The sequence below is a fragment of the Homo sapiens genome, chromosome 4 (genome assembly GCF_000001405.40).
Source record: "Homo sapiens chromosome 4, GRCh38.p14 Primary Assembly".
Taxonomy (NCBI): domain Eukaryota; kingdom Metazoa; phylum Chordata; class Mammalia; order Primates; family Hominidae; genus Homo; species Homo sapiens.
In genome coordinates, this window is record NC_000004.12 from 167,108,349 (window position 1) to 167,132,973 (window position 24,625).

The 24,625-nt window shown below is 34.8% G+C and overlaps 1 protein-coding gene across 12 annotated transcripts in view; it reads right to left on the bottom strand.

Moving 5' to 3' along the window:
- Positions 1-24,625, bottom strand: part of SPOCK3 (SPARC (osteonectin), cwcv and kazal like domains proteoglycan 3) — a 501,562-nt gene that overhangs the window by 374,965 nt on the left and 101,972 nt on the right. Inside the window, exon 3 of one of the 12 annotated variants that reach the window (NM_001204352.2) lies at positions 11,446-11,526. The exons of the other annotated variants lie outside the window; for them this stretch is intronic. Coding sequence (NP_001191281.1) covers positions 11,446-11,490 — 45 coding nt within the window. The 5' untranslated portion in view covers positions 11,491-11,526. The remainder of the gene's footprint in view (positions 1-11,445; positions 11,527-24,625) is intronic. 12 annotated transcript variants of the gene reach the window in all.

The following is a 24,625-nucleotide window of genomic DNA, read 5'->3' on the forward strand; positions in this document are numbered from 1 at the left end:
CCACTCTCATGTTTACTGCGTCACTATTCACAATCGCCAACATTTGGAAGCAATCTAAGTGTACATCAACAGATGAATGGATAAAGAAAATGTGGTAAATATACACAATGGCATACTATTCAGCCATAAAAAGGATGAGATTCTGTCATTTGCAACAACATGGATGGAACTAGAGGTCATTATGTTAAGTGCAATTAGCCAGGCACAGAGAGATGAAACTTCACATATTCTCACTTATTTGTGGGAGATAAAAATTAAAACAATTGAACTATGGAAAGAGAGAGTAGAAGGATGGTTACTAGATGCTGGGAAGCATAGTGGGGTGGGGGAAGCAGTGGAGATGGTTAATGGGTAAAAACAGTAGTTAGAAAGACAGGTAGAAAACAGTATTTGCTAGCACAGAACAGTAACTGTAGTCAAAAATAATTTAACTACACTTTTAAAAATAATGAAGAGTATAATTGGATTGTTTGTTACACAAAGGATACATGTTTGAGGTGATGAATACTCCATTTACTCTGATGTGATTATTTTACTTTGCATTTCTGTATCAAAATATCTCATATACCGCACAAATATATATATTTTATATTTATATTATAAATATTATATATATAAATATATAAATATTATAAATATATATTTATATATATATAAATATATACTTATATAAAAATATATATAAATATATACTTATATAAAAATATATATAAATATTATATATTTATATAAAAATATATATAAATATTATATATTTATATAAAAATATATATAAATATTATATATTTATATAAAAATATATATAAATATTATATATTTATATAAAAATATATATAAATATTATATATTTATATAAAAATATATTATATATAGTATATAATATATATTTAATATTTATTTATTATATATTTATTATTATTATAAAAATTAAGTATTAATTATTATAAATAATAATTATTAATATATTAATATATTAATATATATTAATATTATATAATAAAATAAATATATATTTATATATATATTTATATAAAATATATAAATATATATTTATATATAAATATATATATAAATATATATATGATAAATATATATTTATATTTATATACATATATAGTTATAATATATTTATATAAAATATATTTATATATTTTATATAAAATATAATATTTATATATTTTATATAAATATAACTATATATGTATATAAATATGTTACAAATATATATATTTATTATATATATATATAGTATGTACCCACAAAAATTAAAAATAAAGTTTAACTCTTCTAATACCTCTTGGTCTTACTTGTTTTACAAAGAGAAACTCTTGAAGCATACAAAAGTATATGCTAAGAACCTAAAATTGCTCTAAAAATAAAATAGAATGAAAAACAAGACCTTAAAGAAGAAAAAAGAAAACAGAGAAAAACCAAAATACTATATGAAGGAGCAATGAAAGCTTCCATTCAGAAAAAAGAAAATAAACCAAATAGTATACTCCATCATAAAATCATATCTTTCTACTGCATTTTCTATGTTCCTTACCACCCCACGCCCATGTCCTCCTTTCTCGTCTTACTAGCCTGAACTCCATTTCTTACTTTCTAGCCTTACTAGCCTGAACTTACATTTCTTTTAGACTTGTAAACACACAACTCCCTGATGCCTTCCTCTCTCTAGGGTATTTGCTTGGGTAAAGCATAATTCTTTAAGCCACATCTAACCCTCCTTGGGGTCTGAAATCACAAAGTTGCATGTAGTTGGAGGGAAGCACTCAGGCAAGAAAGCTTTGACATCGTTTGTGATCTCTCATCTCAAGTGGGAGCTTAATGGTACCCAACACCCTTTGTCCTATAATGCATTCACTTTCCCCCATTCCCCCAAGAGTATTCCACATCTTTCTTTCTTGAAGCAGAAATATCTCCTCTCCCATCTTTCCTCAGGTTATGGCCTCTTTTTCTCTATTTCTCAGAGGAAAGAAAGAAAAAGAAATAAATAAACTCTCACCACCATATGTACATTTCTTTTTAGGTGATGGAGGGGTCTGGGTACAAAAATGTCTTTACGTTTTTTAAGAAATACACACTTGCAGAAAGAATTCTCACCTCTTATCTATATGATTCCTGTCTCTGAACTTATTAGTATGAAATCCAGTGTCAGGGGTGATAAATTACAGATTCTTAATCAATGAAAGATCAATGAACCAAAGAACAAAAAGGTGATAGGGAAGAATTCATCAAAGAAAGTATGCATATCACCTTCATTTGCGTTCTATTTAATCATTTATCCATAAGACAATACCCATTGAACCCCTATTATGAGTAAGGAAGTAATAAACATTTTATGGATAAATGAATAAATACACTTAAGGGGGAAAAAATTCCAAAATAGAGCCCCAAATTCCAGGAAACTTTTAATAATATAGTTAAATATCTCTAAAAAAAATTCCTTTCAACATAAGATTAGTAACCACTAGTGAATGTTCCTAAAATGAAGATGAGTGTGTCAGTGCTAACAATGCTACCATATAATTTATTATACTGGTTGAGAGATTTTATTGTTTACTTTCTTTCATTTTTTTGAAAATATAATCATCAAGGATCTGCTACACAGTTATCACAATATTTTGGAATGACATACTAATATATTTTATTTGATAATAAGCTACTGGACACTTACAGGGCCAAAAAAAGAAATATAATTTAATATAAAATAATTGATGTGTTATTTATTTTCCCTTTTTTGAAATAAATGACATATTTTCAAATGTGGATGTATAGACTATATATTTGTATATATAGCCTATATGTATACTTTATATGAAATTATTAAATGAGGAAAAAAATTCACAACTAAAAACTGGTGAAATTTCTTAACTGAAGCAAATACCAAATGTAAACATGCAAGTAAGATCATTAAGATAGATAACAAAGCCCGCGGACTCAAGAACATATTTTGCAATTGCAGCACAATCCTAGAAAGGTTTTCATAATTTGAACAGTCACAGTGATCACTTTTTTTTTCATGAGACCTAATCCCAGCCAAACAGAATGAGGCCCTCACTGACAGGATGATCACAATTAGCCCCATCTGACCTATTCACTCTAAACAAACTATTAAAAGACATTATTCTACATAATACTTGCTTAATTTTTTAAAATAACAATTAAAAATTTTTAGGACTAATTTCTAACCAGATACTAAAAGTAAATATCTCAGCTTATCTCTAGTTAACATTAATTCATCCTAATGTGCGAATATGCAATGTCATTATCATAGTTGAGTTATGGGAAGATTGCTGACAAAGGCCAAAGCAGGTTGTAAATTTTGAAAAGCATCCTGTTGCCAGAGTTGATGACTGAATTCATAACAATAGACTATAAAAGATAGTGCCACTAGCTTAAAAGTAGCACTTTTTTTTTTTTTGAGACAAGGTCTTGCACTGTTGCCCAGGCTGGAATGCAATGACATAATCACGACTCACTGCAGCCTTGATTTCTCAGGCTCAGGTGATTCTCTCACCTCAGCCTCCCAAGTAGCTGGGACTACATGAGTGAGCCACCATGCCTGGCTGATTTTTTTCTATTTTTTGTAGAGATGAGGTGTCACTATGTTTCCCAGGCTGGTCTTGAACTCCTGGGCTCAAGCAATCCTCCTGCCCCAGCCTCCCAAAGTGCTGGGATTACAGGCATGAGCCAACACCCCCAGCCTCGAAGTAACTTTTAAGAAGCTTTAGTTTGGTGAAACATTCAACAGGAAATATACTAGCATCTTAAATCTATATATATGCTTTATCACTCTTAAAAACTATTAGCTCATAATACCTGAGTGCAATATAATTTGCTGAAAATGTCTAAATCATATGAATCCCCTAGAGGAGTGTCTTTCACAGAGGATAGAACAGTAAGTAACCATAAACACTTTAAAAATAGAGCAAAGTGTTCTAAAAATGACTCTTCTAAAATGTTACAAGTATGCAACTCCTGTCAGTTTTTTAAATATAAATTGCTTAAATAGTGTATTAAAGCATATTTATGACTAGATAGGTACTGACTTGTTATGGTTTAAGGGATTTTGTCAGGGTCTGCCTACCTACTTCATTCCCATATGAAAGAAACAATGGGTTCACTCTTTTCCTAAGTAAGATCCAGGACTCTTGCAGGAAAACATAGGGATTGAGGGGGCTGTCATGTCTCCAAAAGATTGTCATGTCTCCAACAGGAGGTGGAAAAGATGGGAAAGGGTAGGAAAACATCAAGACTTCACCATTCCTTTGTATTACTGCTTTAAAATTGTTCCATTATGGACCTGGTTTCAAATAGTTCTATGTCAGGTGAAACGCAGAAATAGGAAAGAAATGAGGTTTGGAAGAAGCCTCACAAAATTGCCTTAGAATGAAAACAGATAGAAATACCATGGGGTGTCATCAAGGAGAGACCCCATCAAAAATTTCCCTAAAATATATGCTCCAAGGACTCTGTTCAAAAGTGCTCTTTTTTAAAAAAAAAAATCATATATATTAGATGTGTTAAGTGTAAACCAAGAACTACATGAAAGTAGGCCTGTGTGCTTGTCTGTATACTTGTATAAGCATATCCAAGGACGCTGGATAACTAGATTTCCTCCCCTATCATCAGGCTATTTCAGTATCAGGTGATTTGCCTGCTTGATCATATTGATTTTGTATCTTAGCAGCAGGTAGAAAGAATCAACGTGAAAAGGTCAACATGTCAAGAGAAGAAGTGCAAATCTTAGGCCAATTGTTGTAGTATGAAAAATACTCAAAGTCAATGCCAGTGACAAACTAAAGCCAGTTGAGCTTTTTTAATCTCACTTTAGTCCAAACCACTGCATTTTAATTACTGACTAATTTCTGAAGTACATTGCTACTTAGATTCGTATTGAACAACTCTATAAATCTTTTTCTACACAGTAACCTAACATTTTGCTTTTTAATCCTGTGCTTTATGATTATACATTTATATGAGTATGCACTTGGCATGGCAGGAGGGTTCTTCTTACAATTTTTTTTTTTTTACCATTAACTATCTTTTAGGTTTTGCTCTCAATTAAACACAAGTTTGCATAAGTAAAAAGGCCACAGTTTTCAGCAAAAAACTATCCCAGCTACTCAGCCTTAAAACACCATCTAATTATCAGAATAGGAATAAGAATGGGTTTCAGTCAGTGTCTGAGCAGATAGATGGCACATTCAAAGGATTAACTGATAAAAACTTTACCTAAGGGTCTATTAAGGGAGAAGTTGGCAGGATTAAAGGAACAACCAAAGGCAGGATACATGCCAAGTTTCAAGCAACAGCAGTAAACCTCATTACCTACCCATAGGCCTACGGTACAAGAAAGAAGCAGGATGTAATGGTACCAACACCAAGAGGAAGCGGCATCTGTGGAAGATCACCCACCGCACAAGGGCTATGGACAAAGGTGAAGAGTATCTTTTTCCATGAAGAGAGGGAATGAATGTCTCAGCCTCTCTCAGCTGCAGTGCTTTGCTCCTTCATTTGCTGCTTCCCACTCTCTAAACCCAATAAGAAGCCATTCAGGAAGGGAGTGTGGCTAAAGGAGGTTATAGGACCATCTGAGGCACAGAGCAGAGAAGAAATATGCAGAGAACAAAGTTGAAACAGCCAGCTGAAAATCACCAGCGCAAAGTGAGAGAAAGAGGGGAAAACTTCCCTTTTTAATTGTATTCAAGAGATTAAAAAGTCACAGGTGAATGTTCATGCTCCAGGAATACCAGACTAGCTTATAGCAGACCAAACTCTCCTCTAAAATAAACGAGAGAGAGGTCAATTCGACAAACAAACAATGAGAAAATACACATCTATTTGAAGGCATCGGAGAGCTAGCAAGTGAGTCAGTACTTGAAGAGCCAAAATCCTGGAGAAGAGGGACTCATGGACGAAAACCTAATAGCTATGCCACTTCTCAGTAACAGGTAAAAATACCTTTTTCTAAGTTGAGAAAAAGATGCTGATAAGCTAAGTAGAAGGGCTGTGAAGAGACAGAGAACCCGAACAGAGTTTCTTCCCATTTCTTAGGACTGGGAGATGAAATTCAGGGATCCTAAGACAGCCAAGATTAAATATACGAGCTCCCTCAAGAAAGGAAAAATAAGAAGGCTTGCACGTGTCTCCTCTAATTCTCACAAATTTATAAGCAGTGCAGGTACAGAAAAAAATTATGAGGAATCCAGTATGGAGGAGTGAGCCTTTAAATGTAATTTTCAGCAGTCACAGAGTGGCAGGGAGATAAAGTGTGACAGACAAGACTTGGCAATGAATAGAGCTTCTAGTAAATTCCTGAGACTTTCACTTGAGATTTCTGAAAATAAATAACTCTGAGTAATGCAGAACAAGAAACAGACCAGGTCTTTTGGGTACTAAAACTCAGCCTTGATATGACTCAAACCCGTGTTGTGGTAAGGTGCTATGTTTCCACGTTAACCATGTGCTAAAGATAGTGTCTCATTCAGAGTTGCTACAGTGTTCATACTAAGACTCCAGCATTCATGGAAAGTTAACAGGCATAGCAAGAGACAGGACTAAGAGAAAAAAAAACAATAGAATCAGATGCACACATGAAAATTATGAGATACTATGTTAAAATAATTTAAAATAATATGCTTAGAAAATAGCAGGAAATATGTTAAATTTCACCAGGGAACTGGAGCCTATAAGAAGATTATATAGCTACGGGAAACATAATATTTGATATTGCGAACAACTAACAGATTAGATTCAACCAGAGAGTGGGAGACTGAAGTTTATGAGCCAAATCTGGCCTATTCCTTGCTTTGAGAGATATTTTTCTTTGAAATACAATTATGCCCATCTGGTTACATATTATCTGTGGCGGCTTTTATGCTAAATGTAGAGTTGTCTAGCTGTGAACCAAGGCTGTATGTCCCGCAAAGTAAAAGATATTTGCTATCTGGCCTTGTACAGAAAAAAAAAAAAAATGACACAAGAATTAGTCAAGGAAGAATATCTGATTGAAATATATTTCAGGACAAAATTTCCAGAATGAAGCACCAAAATAATATTTTAAATGAAAATAAAATTGAAGCATAAGATAAAATATTGGTCCTGGGTAACTTATGTATAATTATAATTAAAGAAAGAAGGAGAAAGTAATACTGCTGTAATACTTGAAATAATTGTTGAGGTATTTTTAAAAGTAGTGAAATGTGCTATAGATTCAAGAAATATGATTTTCATGTTGGGGAATAGAAACAAACATATAAAAACTAACCAGGCACAATAAAGCATAAGGTAAAGGGAAAATGTAAGGTAAAAGGAAAATGCAGTTGTTAGGAAGTAGGGAAATACGAGATGGTTGCCTTCAAAGGGGCAACAATGAAAATTAAGAGCTAACTATTCTCAACTCAAATTATGAAAGCCAGAAGACAGGGGAAAGTTGTTAATAACAGAAGTTAATGATTTTAAACATCTTTAAAGTCCTGAACGAAAATAGCTTCCAGAACAGAAGTCTGTATCCATACACTTCAAATTGCAGAAGAAAAATAAATATCTCTAAACAAACTAAAACAGAGAATTCATCAGCAGTGGGCTCACATCAGAAACAATTACTAAAAGTAATTCTTCAGGTAGGAGGATATGATAACAGAGAAAAGCACTAAAATTCAGTAAGCAATAAAGAGTAATGAAAAGGAAAAATATGTGGTAACCTAAATAAATATTAAGGCTTTAATAACATCTCATGGAGTACAAAATATATGTAAATAAAATGACTTATGCATGCTCTATGTCCCAGAAATTTCACTCCTATAAAAATACCCAAGAGGTATCTGTATGTGTACAGACACATACACACACCCCAAAAGGCATGAGGAAGAAAATTCCTTGCAATATTAATTTTAATGGCAAAAACCTGGAAACATAATAAGTGTAGCTCCAATTATAGTTAAGATATAGAAAATTACAAAAGATGATTGCTTCCTCTTTGAAATGAAAAATGAAAGCAAGTCAAATAAATTACAAAAGTTATATATATACTTTTGTAAATATATATACACAAAAGTATATATATATACACTTTTGTAATATATATATACACAAAAGTATATATATACACACTTTTGTATATATATACTTTTGTGTATATATATATATACACAAATATATATACGTATATGTATATATATATAAAAGTATATATATGAGTATATATACTTTTATACATATATAGTTTTGTATATATATACATATATACTATATACGTATATATATACATATATACTATATACGTATATATATACACATATATACGTATATAGTATATATGTATATATACACACATATAGTATATATACGTATATAGTATATATGTATATATACACACATATAGTATATATACATATGTATATATACACACATATAGTATATATACATATGTATATATACACATAAATACACATATAGATGTATATATATAAAAGTATATATATACTTTTATATATATACTTTTGTATATAGATATACTTTTGTATATATACATATATACTTTTGTGTGTGTGTGTGTATATATATATATATATATACTTTTGTGTATATGTATATATATATATCCCACCATAGAGAAAATTAGAGGCACTGAATTCCAGATATAGACAAATGCTTCTTGGGACAGAAATGACCAATGGTTGCCTTCAACACTGGGGCCATGGTAAATGCAAGAGAAAAACTGGAATGCTCCCAACACAAAGAAATGATGAAGGTTTGAGATGATGGATCTTTCAATTACCCAAATTTGATCATTACACATTGTATGCTTGTATCAAAAAATCACATATACCCCATAAATATGTGAAACTATTACATATCCATAAAAATTTAAAAAAGAGGAAAAGGAACATCAGCACAATATGTAACACAATTTAAACTGCCACTTGTGGGCTGGTATGAGGGAGTAGAATTCTTAAGAGCCCTAGTCACAAAATGTGTTCTGACCTGCCTACCAATTCTTTTCCACAGGACCTTGACTGAGCACCTAGGGGCCATATGAGGAAGCCTGAGTCCCGGGCAAGAGTGAGGAGAGATCTGCCCTAGAGTGCACAGAGCAGCAGAAAGCTGCAACAGGCTGGCTCAGGCAGAGCAATCAAGTGAGGGGAACCCCCCACCCACGTAGTACACAGACCTTCATGAAGAGTTATAGGCTAGAACTTGCCCAAAGCCAGGGTCGATGCCGGATTGTGGACAGAACATGCCCTGGGCTTTCAGGAAGTACAAAACAGCAAGCAACTGAGGTCTGGGGGCAGAGCAGCAGGGTGGGAAGGGCTCTCCCAGAAGGTGAAAATCCAAGGGAGGCTCTGGGGAGCAAAGTGCAATCTCCAGTTATCCTGAGAACTGATGGTTAGGCTGCAAGGAATAAAGAGATTTCTGGAAGTCAATGCACACATTCCAGGGAAAGACCTAGTCTCATTCTGCATCTTTGAAACAGAGGAGAACAAAGTCTGACTAAAATGCAACAAAGCTTAATAAGACCCAACAGACTGTGCCATGAAACCCAGCACAAATACAAATTAGGATGACTCTGACTCCACTTTGGTAGCACAGCAGAAAAACAGTGAGAGGAAATGGCACCTTCCTCAGTTTCTACTAATCTTTTACATAAAATGTTTGGTATGCAGGATTATGTGACCTATAATTAGAAGCATGAGATCCTTTTGGTCAAACCAACATATGAGCTCTGATCTCCTGCTTGAAAAGTTCTTTCAGTATTATAACACCCTCTCCTACTTGCCAGACTGTTTGAATTTTGCTAAGCAATAATGTATTGAATGTGATGTTTCTTTCTATGTGTGTATGATTATAATTAATCCAAAAAGTAAACAACCTAGATCCGGAAGTAATTTTATAGCTTATAGAACATAATGAGAATCACACATCTTATTTAGGTGCTTTCTTACTAGAGGAGCTCCATAATCACTTATAAATCCAGTGTAATTATTTCCTTACTTTTCTTTCGGTTACTGCTCCATAAGATTTCAAAGAATGCCTACCTCTAAAGTTCACTCTTAATTAAATAAATTCATCCTAATAATACCTAGAAATACCCATATTAATCTTTTTAAAAGGCAGTGACGTTATAGAGTCAGAAGGTCCTTGTGAACAGTTCATATCTTTAGAGATGGTCTCATTTATTTTGACTGTGTCTATATTTTATGATTGCTTATGTAGCATTTTCAACTTTAAAATTCATGTCAATGAATCCTTCTCAACACCAGCTGCCATCTCAGTTAAATCTTAAATAGACAAATTGCTCATATTTCATGTACAGTTATTCTTGAAGAAGCTTCATCAAAGTGGCATTATGCCCTGTTTTACAAGTATGTTATATTTTTTCTACAGGAAAAAAAAGAAAACTTGGCATTTGTTGATCAGGAAGCATAAATGCTGGCTTCTTTTGGCTATTTTGTTACTTTCTTCCTAAATACTCAGGGGTCAATAGCAAATCTATGAGAAGGGATTTCATGTAACCCATATCAACTTTCCCATTTTCATCCCCCCTTCTACTATTATCCGCTGCTGGTTTAAGCCCTTCTTACTTGTACTTTGATTATTTCAGACTCTCACTGTTCTCTCAGTGACCAATCTCAGCCCTTCCAATTTATCTACATGCCTAGAAATCTGGGCCGAATCAAGAAGTTCATCATGTTCCCAAGTACATGAAAGGTGAACCAACAGCTGTAATATACAAAAGCTAGCTCACTGCAATTTTAAGTTCTGAACTAGAAGGCGGGGTGGGGGAGGGGGGGGAACACCATTTCCTTTTCACTATGGAGAATAACAAAAATAATCTGTAATGGCAATTCTATAGTTAAATAGAAAGAAAATTCCTATTGATTATGTTGGAATGTAGGCTCTAAGAGAGGTGAAGAGCAGCATTTCAACAATCTCTCACATAGAGGGTGTGATCAGAGAGTAATCATATATACTTTGGTGAAAGGATGGAGTGAGGATATGAAATAATTCCCAATAAATACATATGAGAGCAGATGTTTTAGGATTTGACATCCCCAAGTCTTATAAAGAAATCTTTTGATGATTTTTATTATAATATCCCTTAAAAATAAGTTCTGCCAATAAATAACAGGTTACTAAAGTTTTCAGAATGAATAACAAAGGTTTATATCATCTCTTAACAAAATACTCATCTCCAAAGTAACATCTGTTGAAGTCATTTAAACCATCATGAGAAATACTTGCATTATTATGTAGCAAAAATAAACCACAAGTGAAGGGCTGAGGGATGACATCAGTCATAGACTTGTTTGTTTGATGCATATCAGAAAAACAACACATTTGAAGTATTTAAATAGAGAACGTTATGTCTATAACATAATGGGTACTCTGCTACCCACTATTTCACGTTAACATATATTTAACAATTTTCATTACCTGACTGAGCCCAGAAGACATGTGGATGTGATCTTGTGTGATCATCACTACTGTCCTGTCAAATAATCGTTTTTCTTCTTACTAATGCCCCAAAGGTTTCAACCAAAAAAGAAAAAAGGAAAGAAAGAAAGAAAAGAATAAACCCCTTTCTGATGAAAATAGCTACATTTAAAAATGGGTAAATCGCTTCCACTGAAATATTTTATGTTAAAGCAGTGTATCTCTTAAATTACATACATGGTAGATTTTATGTTTCTATAAATAAGGGTCATAAACAATGTACACATACATATCTTTGTATATTAAATGCAAGTTTCAAAATTACACCTAATTTCAAGAGGCACAATAATTATGTGGTTGACGAGTTAGACTCTGGATCCAGGGTTTCTTAGTTTAGATCCTTGCTCTATCACTTTCTAGCTATGAAGCTTTGGACAAGTTATTTAAAAACATTGTGTTTCAATTTTCTAATATATAAAGTGGAAATGACAGTATTTTATCCTAGAGGGTTGATGTGAGGATTAAATGGACTAATATATATAAATTACCTACCACCATATCTGGTACATAGTAAGGTTGTAGAAATTTTAGATATTATAATTTTAGACATTATAGTTATTATTAATACTTATGTTAAAGACCATTCATGTAAACAAGAACAATATTGATGCTTCTGGCTATCATGTTAAAGTAGTAATGACTTGACAATCTAGCATTGATTATAAAAATGCTTTGGAAAAATAAATAATTCGATTACTCAGTGTTTGTACTTAGTATTATAGTTAGTAATTTCTGTTAGCATACATTGTCAAGAAATAATGAAGAGGATTTTTTTGTTTGTCCTTGAATTTAGGATTTGTGGCTGAATTTGCTAACTGCACATTTTAACAAATATTAACCTTTGATATAATAGGAAATATGACTTTACATGATTATAACTTCATTCATTTTAACAGAAGTGCATTTTTAAAAAGTTTTTAAACATCAAAAATGGTTATCTTTGCATAAATAAAAGATTCATTTTAGAAAGGTTATTTTAAAATCTATAACCTATAGATTAAAGATCTATTCTTCCCAATGTTACCATTTAAATCAATTCCAACATTGGGTAACATCATAGTTTGAATGAAGATTAAGTCACTTACATTTATCATTACCAAATGTCTATTTTTTCAATATAAAAAAATGCCTAACTCCACTGGATTACTAGTACTCCTTATCATTCAGTGGATTTTGATAGTTATTCTGCAGACCCAGAAACCATTCAACAGCACTGAAAAGTTCAACAATCTAACCTGGGTGTTTTTTTAAATCTATTTAAAATCAATCATGAAAAAATGATAGCCATGCCTAAATCTAATATATATTTAAATAATATATAATTTATATAAATTCATAAGCAAATGATCAGAGCAGTTCCAGGATATTGACATTTAGCACACAGGACTTCTCCAGGTTAAAGAAGTTTATTCTTTTCTTGGACATGGCTCATATTTTTCCAGATCAGAGGATGGATAACAATAATAAATTCCTCATAAAAATTTCTCTTAGCCAGTTCTCATCTCTCTTCGTGTCAGCAATTCAATTGTATTTTCCCTTGAGGTTTGTGTTATAGTATTAGATGAGAGATGTCAGAATCCATTAGTACCTCATGTAGAGATTTCTTCTCTGGTTTCAAACAAAAAAAAAAAAAGTGAATGTGGATGAGATTAATTTTCCTACCTCGGAGCTAAATCAAGTGATAGGAAGCAATAGGAAGAGATAAGAGGAAAATATTGAAAGAGATAGTGGAAGGCAAAATTTTATCTGATAGAATCCCTCATATTATGTGACTGCATAACAAAATTTTATACTATTCATTTCTAATCTTGGAAAAATGTTATCAGTAGGATTCATGTTCATCTACTAGCTCCCCATTTCCTCACCCTTAGAGAACAACCACATAGCAGTGATAGCCTGCTGTTCCAAACATTTTTGTCAAAATATAATTGCTTTGAACCTCCTCGCAGCTTGGGGGCACTAAGAAGCCATCCCCTATGAAATAATAATTCAGGTAATTTCAACATATTAATACTATATTTAATAAAACTATTATAAGTGTCATACATAAAAATCATGAATAAAATGTACAATCATTCACATAATGTCAGATAACTGCAAAGAAATACAAAAAGAAACCTGTGAATTTACCCATGGCAAACCATAATTTCAAGTTTTTCATTAATAACCTTCCCTCCCTGCCTCCCTCCCTTCCTTCCTCCATCCCTCCCTCCCTCTTTTCTTTTCCTTTCTTTTCTTTTTTCTTTTCTCTTCTCTTCTCTTTTTTCTTTTTTCTTTTGTTGTCTTTTTCTTTTCTCATTCTCTCTCTCTCTCTCTTTCTCTCTCTTTCTTGAGACAGGGTCTAGAATACAGTGGTGCAAGCACATCTCACTGCAGCCTACAGATTTGGCTTCCCTGGGCTCAAGTAATCCTTCTAGCTCAGCCTGCCAAGTAGCTGGGACAGGCGTGAGCCACCATGCCTGGCTAATTTTTGATCTGTGGAGACGGGGTTTTGCCATGTTGCCCAAGCTGGTCTAGAACTCCTGAGTTCAAGTGATCCACCCACTTCAGCCTCCCATTAATAATTTTCAATTGTACATTTGTTTTGCTATTATATTGCACTATGCAATAAAAATTGTAAAGGGCCATAAGTTACCTTTGTCATCCCTATAGATAGAGAGGAAAAGTCGTTTAGGGTTACAATACCTCAGTGAACATGATACAACTAGAATGTAATGTGAAAACATTGTCACATTGTACTTGTGAAGTCATCACCCATTCTGATGAATATAATACAACACAGACATATGTTTATACATATCCGTTATTCTTCCTTCATTTCTTAGAGCTGCCATTTGAAGAGGAAGTAAATATAGTAAAGAGATATATGAATATTAATGAAATGTATAATTACTGCTAACTCATTTACAACTTCTGGAGAACACTAAATTATAAAATAAATTTTCGATATTTTCACATGAGTGGTGCTAAAGAACAATAATCAACTCAATAAAATTTACCCACCTTTGCAATCTTTACCAAACATCTTTATCTTTTATTCAAAATAATAGTAGTACCAGCCTTAAAATAACGGTAACTAGCACTAAACACTATGTTACCAAATAATTAAATAAAAAAAAATACGGAGAGTTTTCAGAGCTAAAGAGATTATTTAAAAAAATTAAACGTCATGTCCTCAGTAACACTAGTGTTGTGAAAGGGGAAAAAAAGGTAGAACAAGCAGAGGACAGAATAAAGAAAGTTAAAAAGTATCATTTTAGTCTTCAAGAAGCATAACATTGAGTGAGGCAAATAAAATTACAAGAACATAGAAAAGTTGAATAATGTTTAAAGTGATAAAGTATATTTCAATACAATGATACAAAGCAGCCTATTATAAATGATTTTTATATATGAATGATATATAAGTTAATAATAAAAAATAAATGATATCAGCAGTAGCTATATATCATTAGAAGTCCAGCATCATTTTATAAGGAAAAGTATTATAACTTAAGATTCTCTTTCACAGCTCTTCTCCTGAAGATGGTGGTGTGGCTTTCTATTTCATGGGCTGTCCAGACTAGGCACTGCAAATTTATTTTAAAAAGCATAAAATATACTGGTAGTTGTGCTAAGGTTAAAATGTGTAGATCTGCAGCGATTCAGATAATCTACACTCCTGGCTGGATTCAGTCATAGTTTACAATAGCCATTATCTGTCTGTACCAAGATGTTCCATGGTTCTAGGTTTGACTGTATACTGTTCCACCCACCTCTGCCACTCTCTGCCAGATTGACAGTCCAATTAACACATGGCGTGTCTGCAGACTACAGTACTCAGTCAGTCATATTTTCTGCTTTTCCCTGAGCCCAGAAAAGACAGCTCCAACAAGACATTTCTTTTCTTTTTTTTTTTTTTTTTTTTTAAGACTGAGTCTTCCTCTGTTACCCAGGCTGGAGTGCAATGGTGCTATCTCCACTTGCTGCAACCTCCCACCCTCCCAGGTTCAAGAAATTCTCCTGCCTCAGCCTCCCAAGTAGCTGGGACTACAGGTGCATACTGCCACGCCTGGCTAATTTTTTGTATTTTTAGTACAGACAGGGTTTCACCATGTTGGCCAGGCTGGTCTCGAACTCCTGACCTCGTGATCTGCCTGCCTCGGCCTCCCAAAGTGCTGGGATTACAGGCCTGAGCCACCACGCCCTGCCCCAAAAAGACATTCTTAATGGTATGTTTTCTTCACTAAGAATTCTGGATACCACCCCCATATATTCCTCCCACCTATTATCTTTTGTTGCTTCCTCCTAATGTTCCTGACCTGTGAATGTTGAATGGCCCAAGGCTACAGACTAGTCCTTGAATTTGTTTTCTTTTTAACCTGTCACTCCCCAGGGACTTCATCTGGTCTTATGATTAAAATATAGTCTAGATGCTGAGACTTCTTAAATTATTTCTCCAACTCAGATTCTCCCCTACACTTCAGAGATGTCTATCATCTCTATTCAATATCTCCACTCAGATATCTAATAGGAACCTCACATTCAGAATGTCTAAAACCCCTCTTATTTCTTGTTCCCCACAGCCAGCATCAGGTTTTCATGCAGTCAGATATTTTCATCTCAGTTAACAGAAAGTCTGTTCTTCTAGTTCCTCATGCCACATCTTTAATGAAATCTTTGATGCCCTTTTCTCCCCCACACCCTCCATTTGGTCAGCTGTACCTTCAAAATATATCCTGTCAACAGCGTAACCCATTTACCATCGTCTCTCATCTAAATGATGCAACAGCTTTCTATTAAGTTTGCCTTATCTTTTTTTTTTCTTGAGACTTTCAGTTGATTTTCTACAAATTAAACTGAATGCCTCTTTTGAAACATAAATTGAATTATGTCATCAGATAGAAGCCCTCAATTGTCTTCACAGTTCCTCTGTGGAATAGCCATAATACTTACCATGACTCTAAATATACGGTCCCTTTATCACACTGACCTCATCTTTTAAAACTGTCTTCTCCTTCACTTACCTCCAATTGTATTCTCCCCTTGCTATAGCACAATAAGGTCTTGCGGTCTTGGCTCTCATTGGGCCTCTGCTTGAATGTCCTCCCTCGGCCCAATATCTGCATGGCTGCTTTCCTTGCTTATTTCAGTGTTTAATTCTAAAGTCACTATCTTAGTGAAGTCTTTTCTTGTCATGCTATCTTAAAGTTTACTTATCACTTAAAATTTAGTTTCGTCCCTTGCTTACTATATTTTTTCCATAGTACTAATTAAGAAATTATATATTTCCATGTATTTATCCTTCTTATGGGGTAGCTCCTCCATTAGAAGGTTCTTTGTATGAGCACAGAGATTTTTTATTTATTTATTTATTTATTTATTTATTTATTTATTTTTATTTATTTTTATTTTTTGGCTGGGGTAGAGGACTGCTGTTCACTCTTGGTAGAATCTAGAAAAGTGCCAGGCATATAGCACTCTGTAAACGTTTATTGAATACCTTGATTAGAGATCTTAACAAGTATATTAGTTAGGACTCAGATTGCTGAAACAAAAGACAAAAATAAAACGGTGCTTAAAAAAAAAAAACACCCCCGGCCGGGCGCGGTGGCTCACGCCTGTAATCCCAGCACTTTGGGAGGCTGAAGCGGGCGGATCATGAGGTCAGGAGATTGAGACCATCCTGGCTAACACGGCGAAACCCTGTCTCTACTAAAAATATAAAAAAATTCGCCGGGCGTGTTGGCGGGCGCCTGTAGTCCCAAGCTACTCGGGAGGCTGAGGGAGGAGAATGGCGTGAACCCGGGAGGCGGAGCTTGCAATGAGCCAAGATCGCGCCACTGGACTCCAGCCCCGGCAGCAGAGGGAGACTCCGTCTCAAAAAAATAAATAAATAAAAATTAAAAACCCTCCATTTCTTTCTTTCATGTAGGAGATCACTCAGAGGATGCAGAAATAGTAGTTCAGTTTGACAGTGTTGGTGACTGATGCTGTTTCTGATTGCTCTATCACCTTCAACATCTTGGCTTCATTTCATGTTCTAAGATGATCCCACAATTATTATTTCCGATTTACAGTTGCAAGGAAGAAAGGAAAAGGGAAATGGAGGGCATGACCTCCTTTCTCTTCAAGAGCACAATCCAGAAGTTACACACTTTATTTTTACTCATATCCTATTGGCAATAACAGGTACAAAATACACCTAACCACAACAGAGGCTTGAAAATATATACTTATTCTAGGTTACTATACACCCAGCTTAAAAAAGAAAAGAGTGAAAATTGTTATTGGATTAAAAGAGGCAACAGTCTGCCCAAACTCTTAACTCCTAACCCTACATCAAGCACAATGTTTGACACCTACGGTAAGGTCAGTCAGTCCACAGTCTGACTGGACAAGTCTGTGAAGACCTCACAATAAGTTCATTGTAGGCCGGGCGCTGTGGCTCACACATGTAATCCCAGCACTTTGGGAGGCCAAGGTGGGTGGATCACCTGAGGTCAGGAGTTCGAGACCAGCCTGGCCAACTTGGCAAAACCCCGTCTCTACTAAAAATACAAAAAAATAGCTGGGCGTGATGGTGCACACCTGAAATCCTGGCTACTTGGGAGGCTGAGGCAGGATAATTGCTTGACCCCAGGAGGCAGAGGTTTCAGTGAGCCGATATCATGCTATTGCACTCTAGCCTGGGCAACAAGAGTCAAACTCTGTCAAAAAAACAAACAAAAAAAGTTCATTGCCAACATATTGATAAGCTTATATACCTATGAATTTCCAACCCCTGCAATACAAAAAAAAAAAATCCTTAAAATAGACAATGGTCTTCTTCTCAGGCCCACTATACCTGAGCTCACCTAAGTGTGCCAGCCTTTTATCCTTACAATCAAGTCCTAATTAGCACACAACTTATCCTTTTAGAAAACCACATACGCAGTAACACCAGCAAAATCTGTTTAATTTTATTTTATCTGTTCCAGGCATTTCAACCCTACTTCAACTTCCATTTCAGCCTCTGGTTCCTCTTCCACCCCTCACTTTTCCCTACTCACAAAATCTCATACTGTTGCTGGTAGAAAACAAAACCAAAGAAACCTGCCCTGTGCCTGGGCCTATGTATTCCCCCTCTCTCTTCTTCTGGCAACTTTACCATCATACTGCAAAGTACAGCCAGGACGTGTCCTGGTGATGAATGGCTCGGACCATTATGGACCAGCAATAGAATAGACAATTGGGTGAGGAGAATTGATTGACTGATTGATTGATATTTTAGAAGGGAAAATTAAGCTTAAAAGGAGATATGTTATAAAGGTTTCCAATAAAGTATTTATGAACAATAGTAGTAAGATTTGACTCAAAATCAAGTATTAGTACTTTATTTTGCCTCATATGTGTCAACAGATACTAATTTGCTTTGACAAATACAGGATACCAAAAACACACACACATACACAATCAAGTCGAACTGATTTCTTCTGTACTTAGTTGTATTGCCAAGACTACTTTCTTATATTACAGAAAAAAACTACTTTTTTATATTACAGAAAAAAAAATAAGCCACCTAAAAGGTTGTTGGGGAAAAGATTGTTGGAAATTTTCTTTTTTTTTTTTTGGAGATGGAGTCTCACTCTGTCGCCCAGGCTGAAGTGCAATGGCATGATCTCGGCTCACTGCAACCTCTGGTTCCCGGGTTCAAGCAATTCTCCTGCCTCAGCCTCCCAGGTAGCTGGGATTACAGGCGCCTGCCACCACGCCCAGCTAATTTTTGTATTTTTAGTAGAGACAGGGTTCCACCGTGTTGGCCAGGCTGGTCTTGAGCTCCTGACCTCAGGAGATCCACTCACCTCGGCCTCCGAAAGTGCTGGGGTTACAGGCGTGAGCCACCATGCACAGCCTGGAAAATTTCTTAATTGGTAACCAATTATTCATTTATAGAAGTGGACAAAAATAGAGTGATGATAAATAGCAAAGATCTGAAAAAGTTGAGAAGAAAATAAATTCTCCTAAACTTCTTCAAACTTTGGTTTCCCATTATAGAAGAGGTATAACGAAATTATCAAAATAAATTACCATACACTTGTGACAACAGTCAGAGGAAGACCTTTGAAACAGCATTAGACGTTTAATAGCTCCCTTGGTGCTCTGGACACTGGGCCTCTCTCACTTCCCAAAAGAACTTGCAGAATCAATTATCACCTTCCTCTCCAATAATTAATTACCTCTTTCCTTCTTGTTCTTCAAACTCTCTCTTTACTAGATCTTTGCTTTCAGCAGATAAAATTGTTCAAGCTTCTTTTCCATGCATAAATTGCAAAATTGTTTAGATAGACCTTCTCACTTTTTCCCCGAATACTCAAGCACATTGAAAAACTCTTTCCTTACACCTCCTCTCATTCATTCCTAAGCCCAAAACCACCTTGCTTCTACCAAGACCACTTCACCAAACTCTTCCCAAAGTTAGTTCTTTTATTGCCAAACAAAGGCTTTTTACCCTTCATCTTACTGGACCTCTCTGTAACATCTAACACTGTAGATCACTTACCTCTCTTCTTAGTTTTCTCCACATGAATTTTGGGTACACCACCATTTATTACTTTGTGCAAAAAAAGTAGTGGTCCTCATCTTCTTCTCAATATTTATCTCCCTGTCTCTTACTTGTGCCTACTGCCCATTCCCGTATAGCATATGGAGGTGTTCATATACTGTGGCCCAGAGAAGACAAACAGTGTTCAACCATTTGGCTTCCCTGGGCCACATCTGAAGAAGAAGAATTGTCTTGGGCCACACATAAAATACACTAACACTAATGATAGCTGATGAGCTAAACAAAAGGTCTGTGCAACATTTTCGTGATACCTGCCACCACAGATAAGCAAAAAAGTTCTCATTCAAAGGGTTGGAAACTAGTATTGCCATTTGTTCTCCTCCTAATCACCCCTCTACATGAAGGAATTTAAAGTCCACTCTGCCTGCTCAGTTTGTCTCTTCTGTTAGGTTTACCAAGAACATCCATTCCCAACAGTCTCCCTCGTGGCCCACCCTGAATGGAGGATTCCAGGGTGATGGATGGGGTTTATTGTATTATTGTGGGCACCTGGGCCATTTCCAAACCCTACCAGACTGTGGAGTGAAATGCATTGATGAGAAATGACCCTGAGAGTGTACTGTGTTCCTGCTCTATACCCTTGATTCAGGGGCTGCTGGCCACTGACAACATCTCCTAAGACAAACACACCAGGAGAGGTACAAGACTGAGAATGACACAGAGTAGTGGTTCTCAACGTACTGCCTTTGAGACATGTAAAAGCATAATCAGCATCACCCACAAAGACTTCAGAAATGCAGATTCTCAAGTCCTGCCCCAGATCTACTGAATAAGTAACTGTGAAGATAGGGCTCAGCAAACTGCATTTTAAGCATCCCATTACATGAATCAGATGGAGGTCCAAGTTTGAGAAATACGGCTGTAGAGTATCAGATACCTGGCTTAAGTGCCAATGTGCTAGCTCTGGACTTACTAAAAACAGCCCTGGGGAATATTACTGGCAACACACTCTTATCTGGTGCCCTGTCTCCAGAATCATCTATTTACTGAGGCAGGCACAGGACACTGGAGTTTCTCCTTGCTAGTGTTCTATTTCATCTGTTTCATCCCATTCTGTTTAGTGCTTGAGCAATCTCTTTCTTGTATACTTTTGGTCTATTCCTTTTGTAATTTCAGACATTCTGTTTCTTTCTTTTTTTTTCAGATATAATATTTCTTCATTTCCTTGTCACTCCAAATACAATGATATTTTTAAAAATATTATAGTTAAAGCACAAACTGCTATGTAGAATCATAAAACATGTAGTCAGCAAATGCACTTAAACCTATGGACTTGAGAATACGTAAATTTAGAAGCTTGTATTTCACAGTGAAAGAACCTAGATAAAAAATAAAATATAAATTTGTCATAATGGAAGGAGAAAAACTGTCAGTTTTGAAACTGCATAAAAGGGTGAGATATATATTATTTAAAGTTGCACTAAAATTTCTTATGCTCAACTTGCACAGTTTTTGATTTAATCTCCACAGTGAAAATCTGGAAGCTATCTTGTCATGAGAGGGTGTTTTGGTGACATCTATATTTAACACTCTAAGGCAAAAACATATTTCCAATTATGTTTTCCAAAAATAAGGTTAATTAAAAAAATTTTTTTTGAGATAGGATCTTGCTCTGTCACCCAGGCTGGAGTGCAGTGGCATAATCATAGCTTACTGCAGCCTTCAATTCCTGGGCTCAAGCCGTCTTCCCCGCTCAGCTTCTCAGTTTTGTAGAGAGAGGTTTTCATTATGTTGCCCAACCTGGTCTCAAACTCCCAGCCTCAAGCAATCCTCCTGCCTCAGCCTCCCAAAACACTGGGATTACAGGCTTGAGCCACTGTACCCAGGCAAATCAAATATTTTAAAAATAATAGATTGTTTTAATTTTTAATTATCAAAGTTAAATATATTTAAATTAGACATAAAAATTTGGAGTTTTTTTATTTACTGGAAAAAAGCATATTTTACATAACTAGTGGGTAATATATGGAATATAAGAATAAGAGGCAAAGTCAATATAGAGAAAACAAAGAAGTCAAGCCATTAGATATAATGCCTAAAAATTTCTGATGGCTCATACTCATTACCCATATTTTAACCTAATATGTCATTTGTGAAAGTTAAAATAAAAAATACTATTTAATTTAGATGTTTTTGTACTTAATATAAACATCTTTCCACCAGCAGTTTGCAACTAAACACATTCATCTGTGTAAAATCAATATAATTATCAAAAAATGGCAGTTAAAAAAAACCCAGTCCAAGTAAGACAGTTAGACATTTACAAGGTATGACTAACAATTTCTCCACTAGAAATGCTACATAAAATCAGTTTTGTCTTACAGTCAATCAGAATATAAGAATTACAAGCAAAGGACTGAATCACAAAATACTGTATTATAAACCATGTCACTAGAAAAATTTAGATTAAAATATGCTTCAAGATACTAAAATATGATCTTTACTTAAAAGATGTCTTAATTCCAGAGGGAAATATTACTAATAAATAGCTTAGAGATGTCATTCATATCTATTTTTGTTAAGCAATTATATTGATGTTAGGTAGAGTTCAAGACTCTAGACCAAATGGTGATCAAAAATTAACAAACCTTAATAGACCTGATATTCTAAATGTATATTAGTTGAATAAATCTAAGGTTCAAGGTTTTTAAAAATATTACTAAATTAATTGTACAAACACACCGAGACATGAACAAGATCTCATGGTGAGTGACATAGCCAGGATTACTTTATTTTCATTGTCCATAGCTAAAGTTTTGCCACTTTCTCTATCACATTAAGAATTAAATTATTAAAAATAAACTTTTTAAAAATGAACTCAACCAAAGATAAAATGTGCTACACTATGACATCAAAAACTAGGAGTAGGACTGGGCATGGTGGCTGACACCTAGAATCCCAGCATTTTGGGAGGCTGAGACGGTGAATCAACTGAGATCAGGAGTTCAAGACCAGCCTGGCCAACATGGTGAAACCCCATCTCTACTAAAAATACAAAAATTAGCTGGGTGTGAAATTAGCTGGCTGTGGTGGCACACACCTGTAATCCCAGCTACTTGGGAGGCTGAGGCAGGAGAATCACTTGAACCTGGGAGGCGGAGATTGCAGTGGGCTGAGATCACGCCATTGCACTCCAGCCTGGGCGACAGAGCAAGACTCCGTCCCCCACAAAAAAAACCAAAACCAAACAACAACAACAAAAACCTGGGAGTATACAGATAACAGTCCTAATCCCTTCACTTCTCTGTTAACTGTAGACCATTCTGTTTTAAAGTCTTTGTGTATGGTTTTCTCAATCATTTTCACCATGCCACTATTTTCATTTGAAAGCAATTTAAACATTTTCAAAAGCTTGAATAGAATTTTTTTAACGCTGCAAGAGAAATTATGAGAAACAGAACAAACCAACCCATGAAGTATAAGTACTATGAATCTCAAAACCTAAGAAAAATCTGTTCCATATTTGTATTTCTATAATATTTTAGGACATTTGTAAGTATATGGTTGTTTCCCTGGAAAGTTTTAGTGAAGCCCAGGTATTTATATTTGAATGTTACTTTTTTATCTAGCATCTCTCCAAGAAAATTTGTAAAGACTGAGAAACAAATACCAACACCAATAAATAATCACCTACCTCCCTTATTAAGTATTCTTTTAAAGACACATTTCATGTGAATTTTTAAAAAAGTTTTGTATTTTTCACCTAGGATAAATGATGTCATATCCACTCTATCCCTTCTCTTAAAAATCATTTGAATTCAACCAATACAAACACAAGATATTTATAAATTTACTTTGCTTAAATCATCAATAGCAGAACTACAGTCAACTCTTTTTAATGCTATAGAAAATCATTCAACTTCTAAAACATTTCATATCAGAGACCAAGCATTTATCTTTCAATTGTTATCACAGAAGACAAGCCAAATATCATAAATGACAAATCATGTCTCTAGAGATGAAAGTTCTGTGTATTTTTTTAAAGACATGTCTTAGCATGTTAAGGTCTTTAAGATTATACAGTTACAGTTTATGAAATAGATAACTATCAAAAGTTATTTATTTTAATCTCCTTTAAAAAGTCCTTAGCCTTTGAAGGATATTTCTGAACTTTGAAATTTAGAGACTATATTGCTTTCATTTGGCTACTGTAACAAATTACCAAAGGCTAGGTGGCTTGAAACTAGAGATGTATTCTTATTCAGTAGTGGAGGCCAGAAGCCACAAATCAAAGCCTTGGCAGAAGCTAGGGGAACAAATCCATTCTTTACCTCTCTCTTAGCTTCGGATAGCTGCCCGTAAACCCTGGCATTCCTTGGCTTGTGACCACTTCACTCCAATCTCTGCCTCCATCTACACACTTTCTCCTTCTTCTGCATGTGTCTCATCTGTGTGTCTCTTATATATACACACATGCCATTGGATTTGGATAATCAAGGATGGCCTCCTCTTCTCAAGGTCCTTAATGTCATCTGCTAAAATCCTTTCTTCCAATCAAGATAACATTCCCAGGTTTGAGGGATTTGACATGGATGT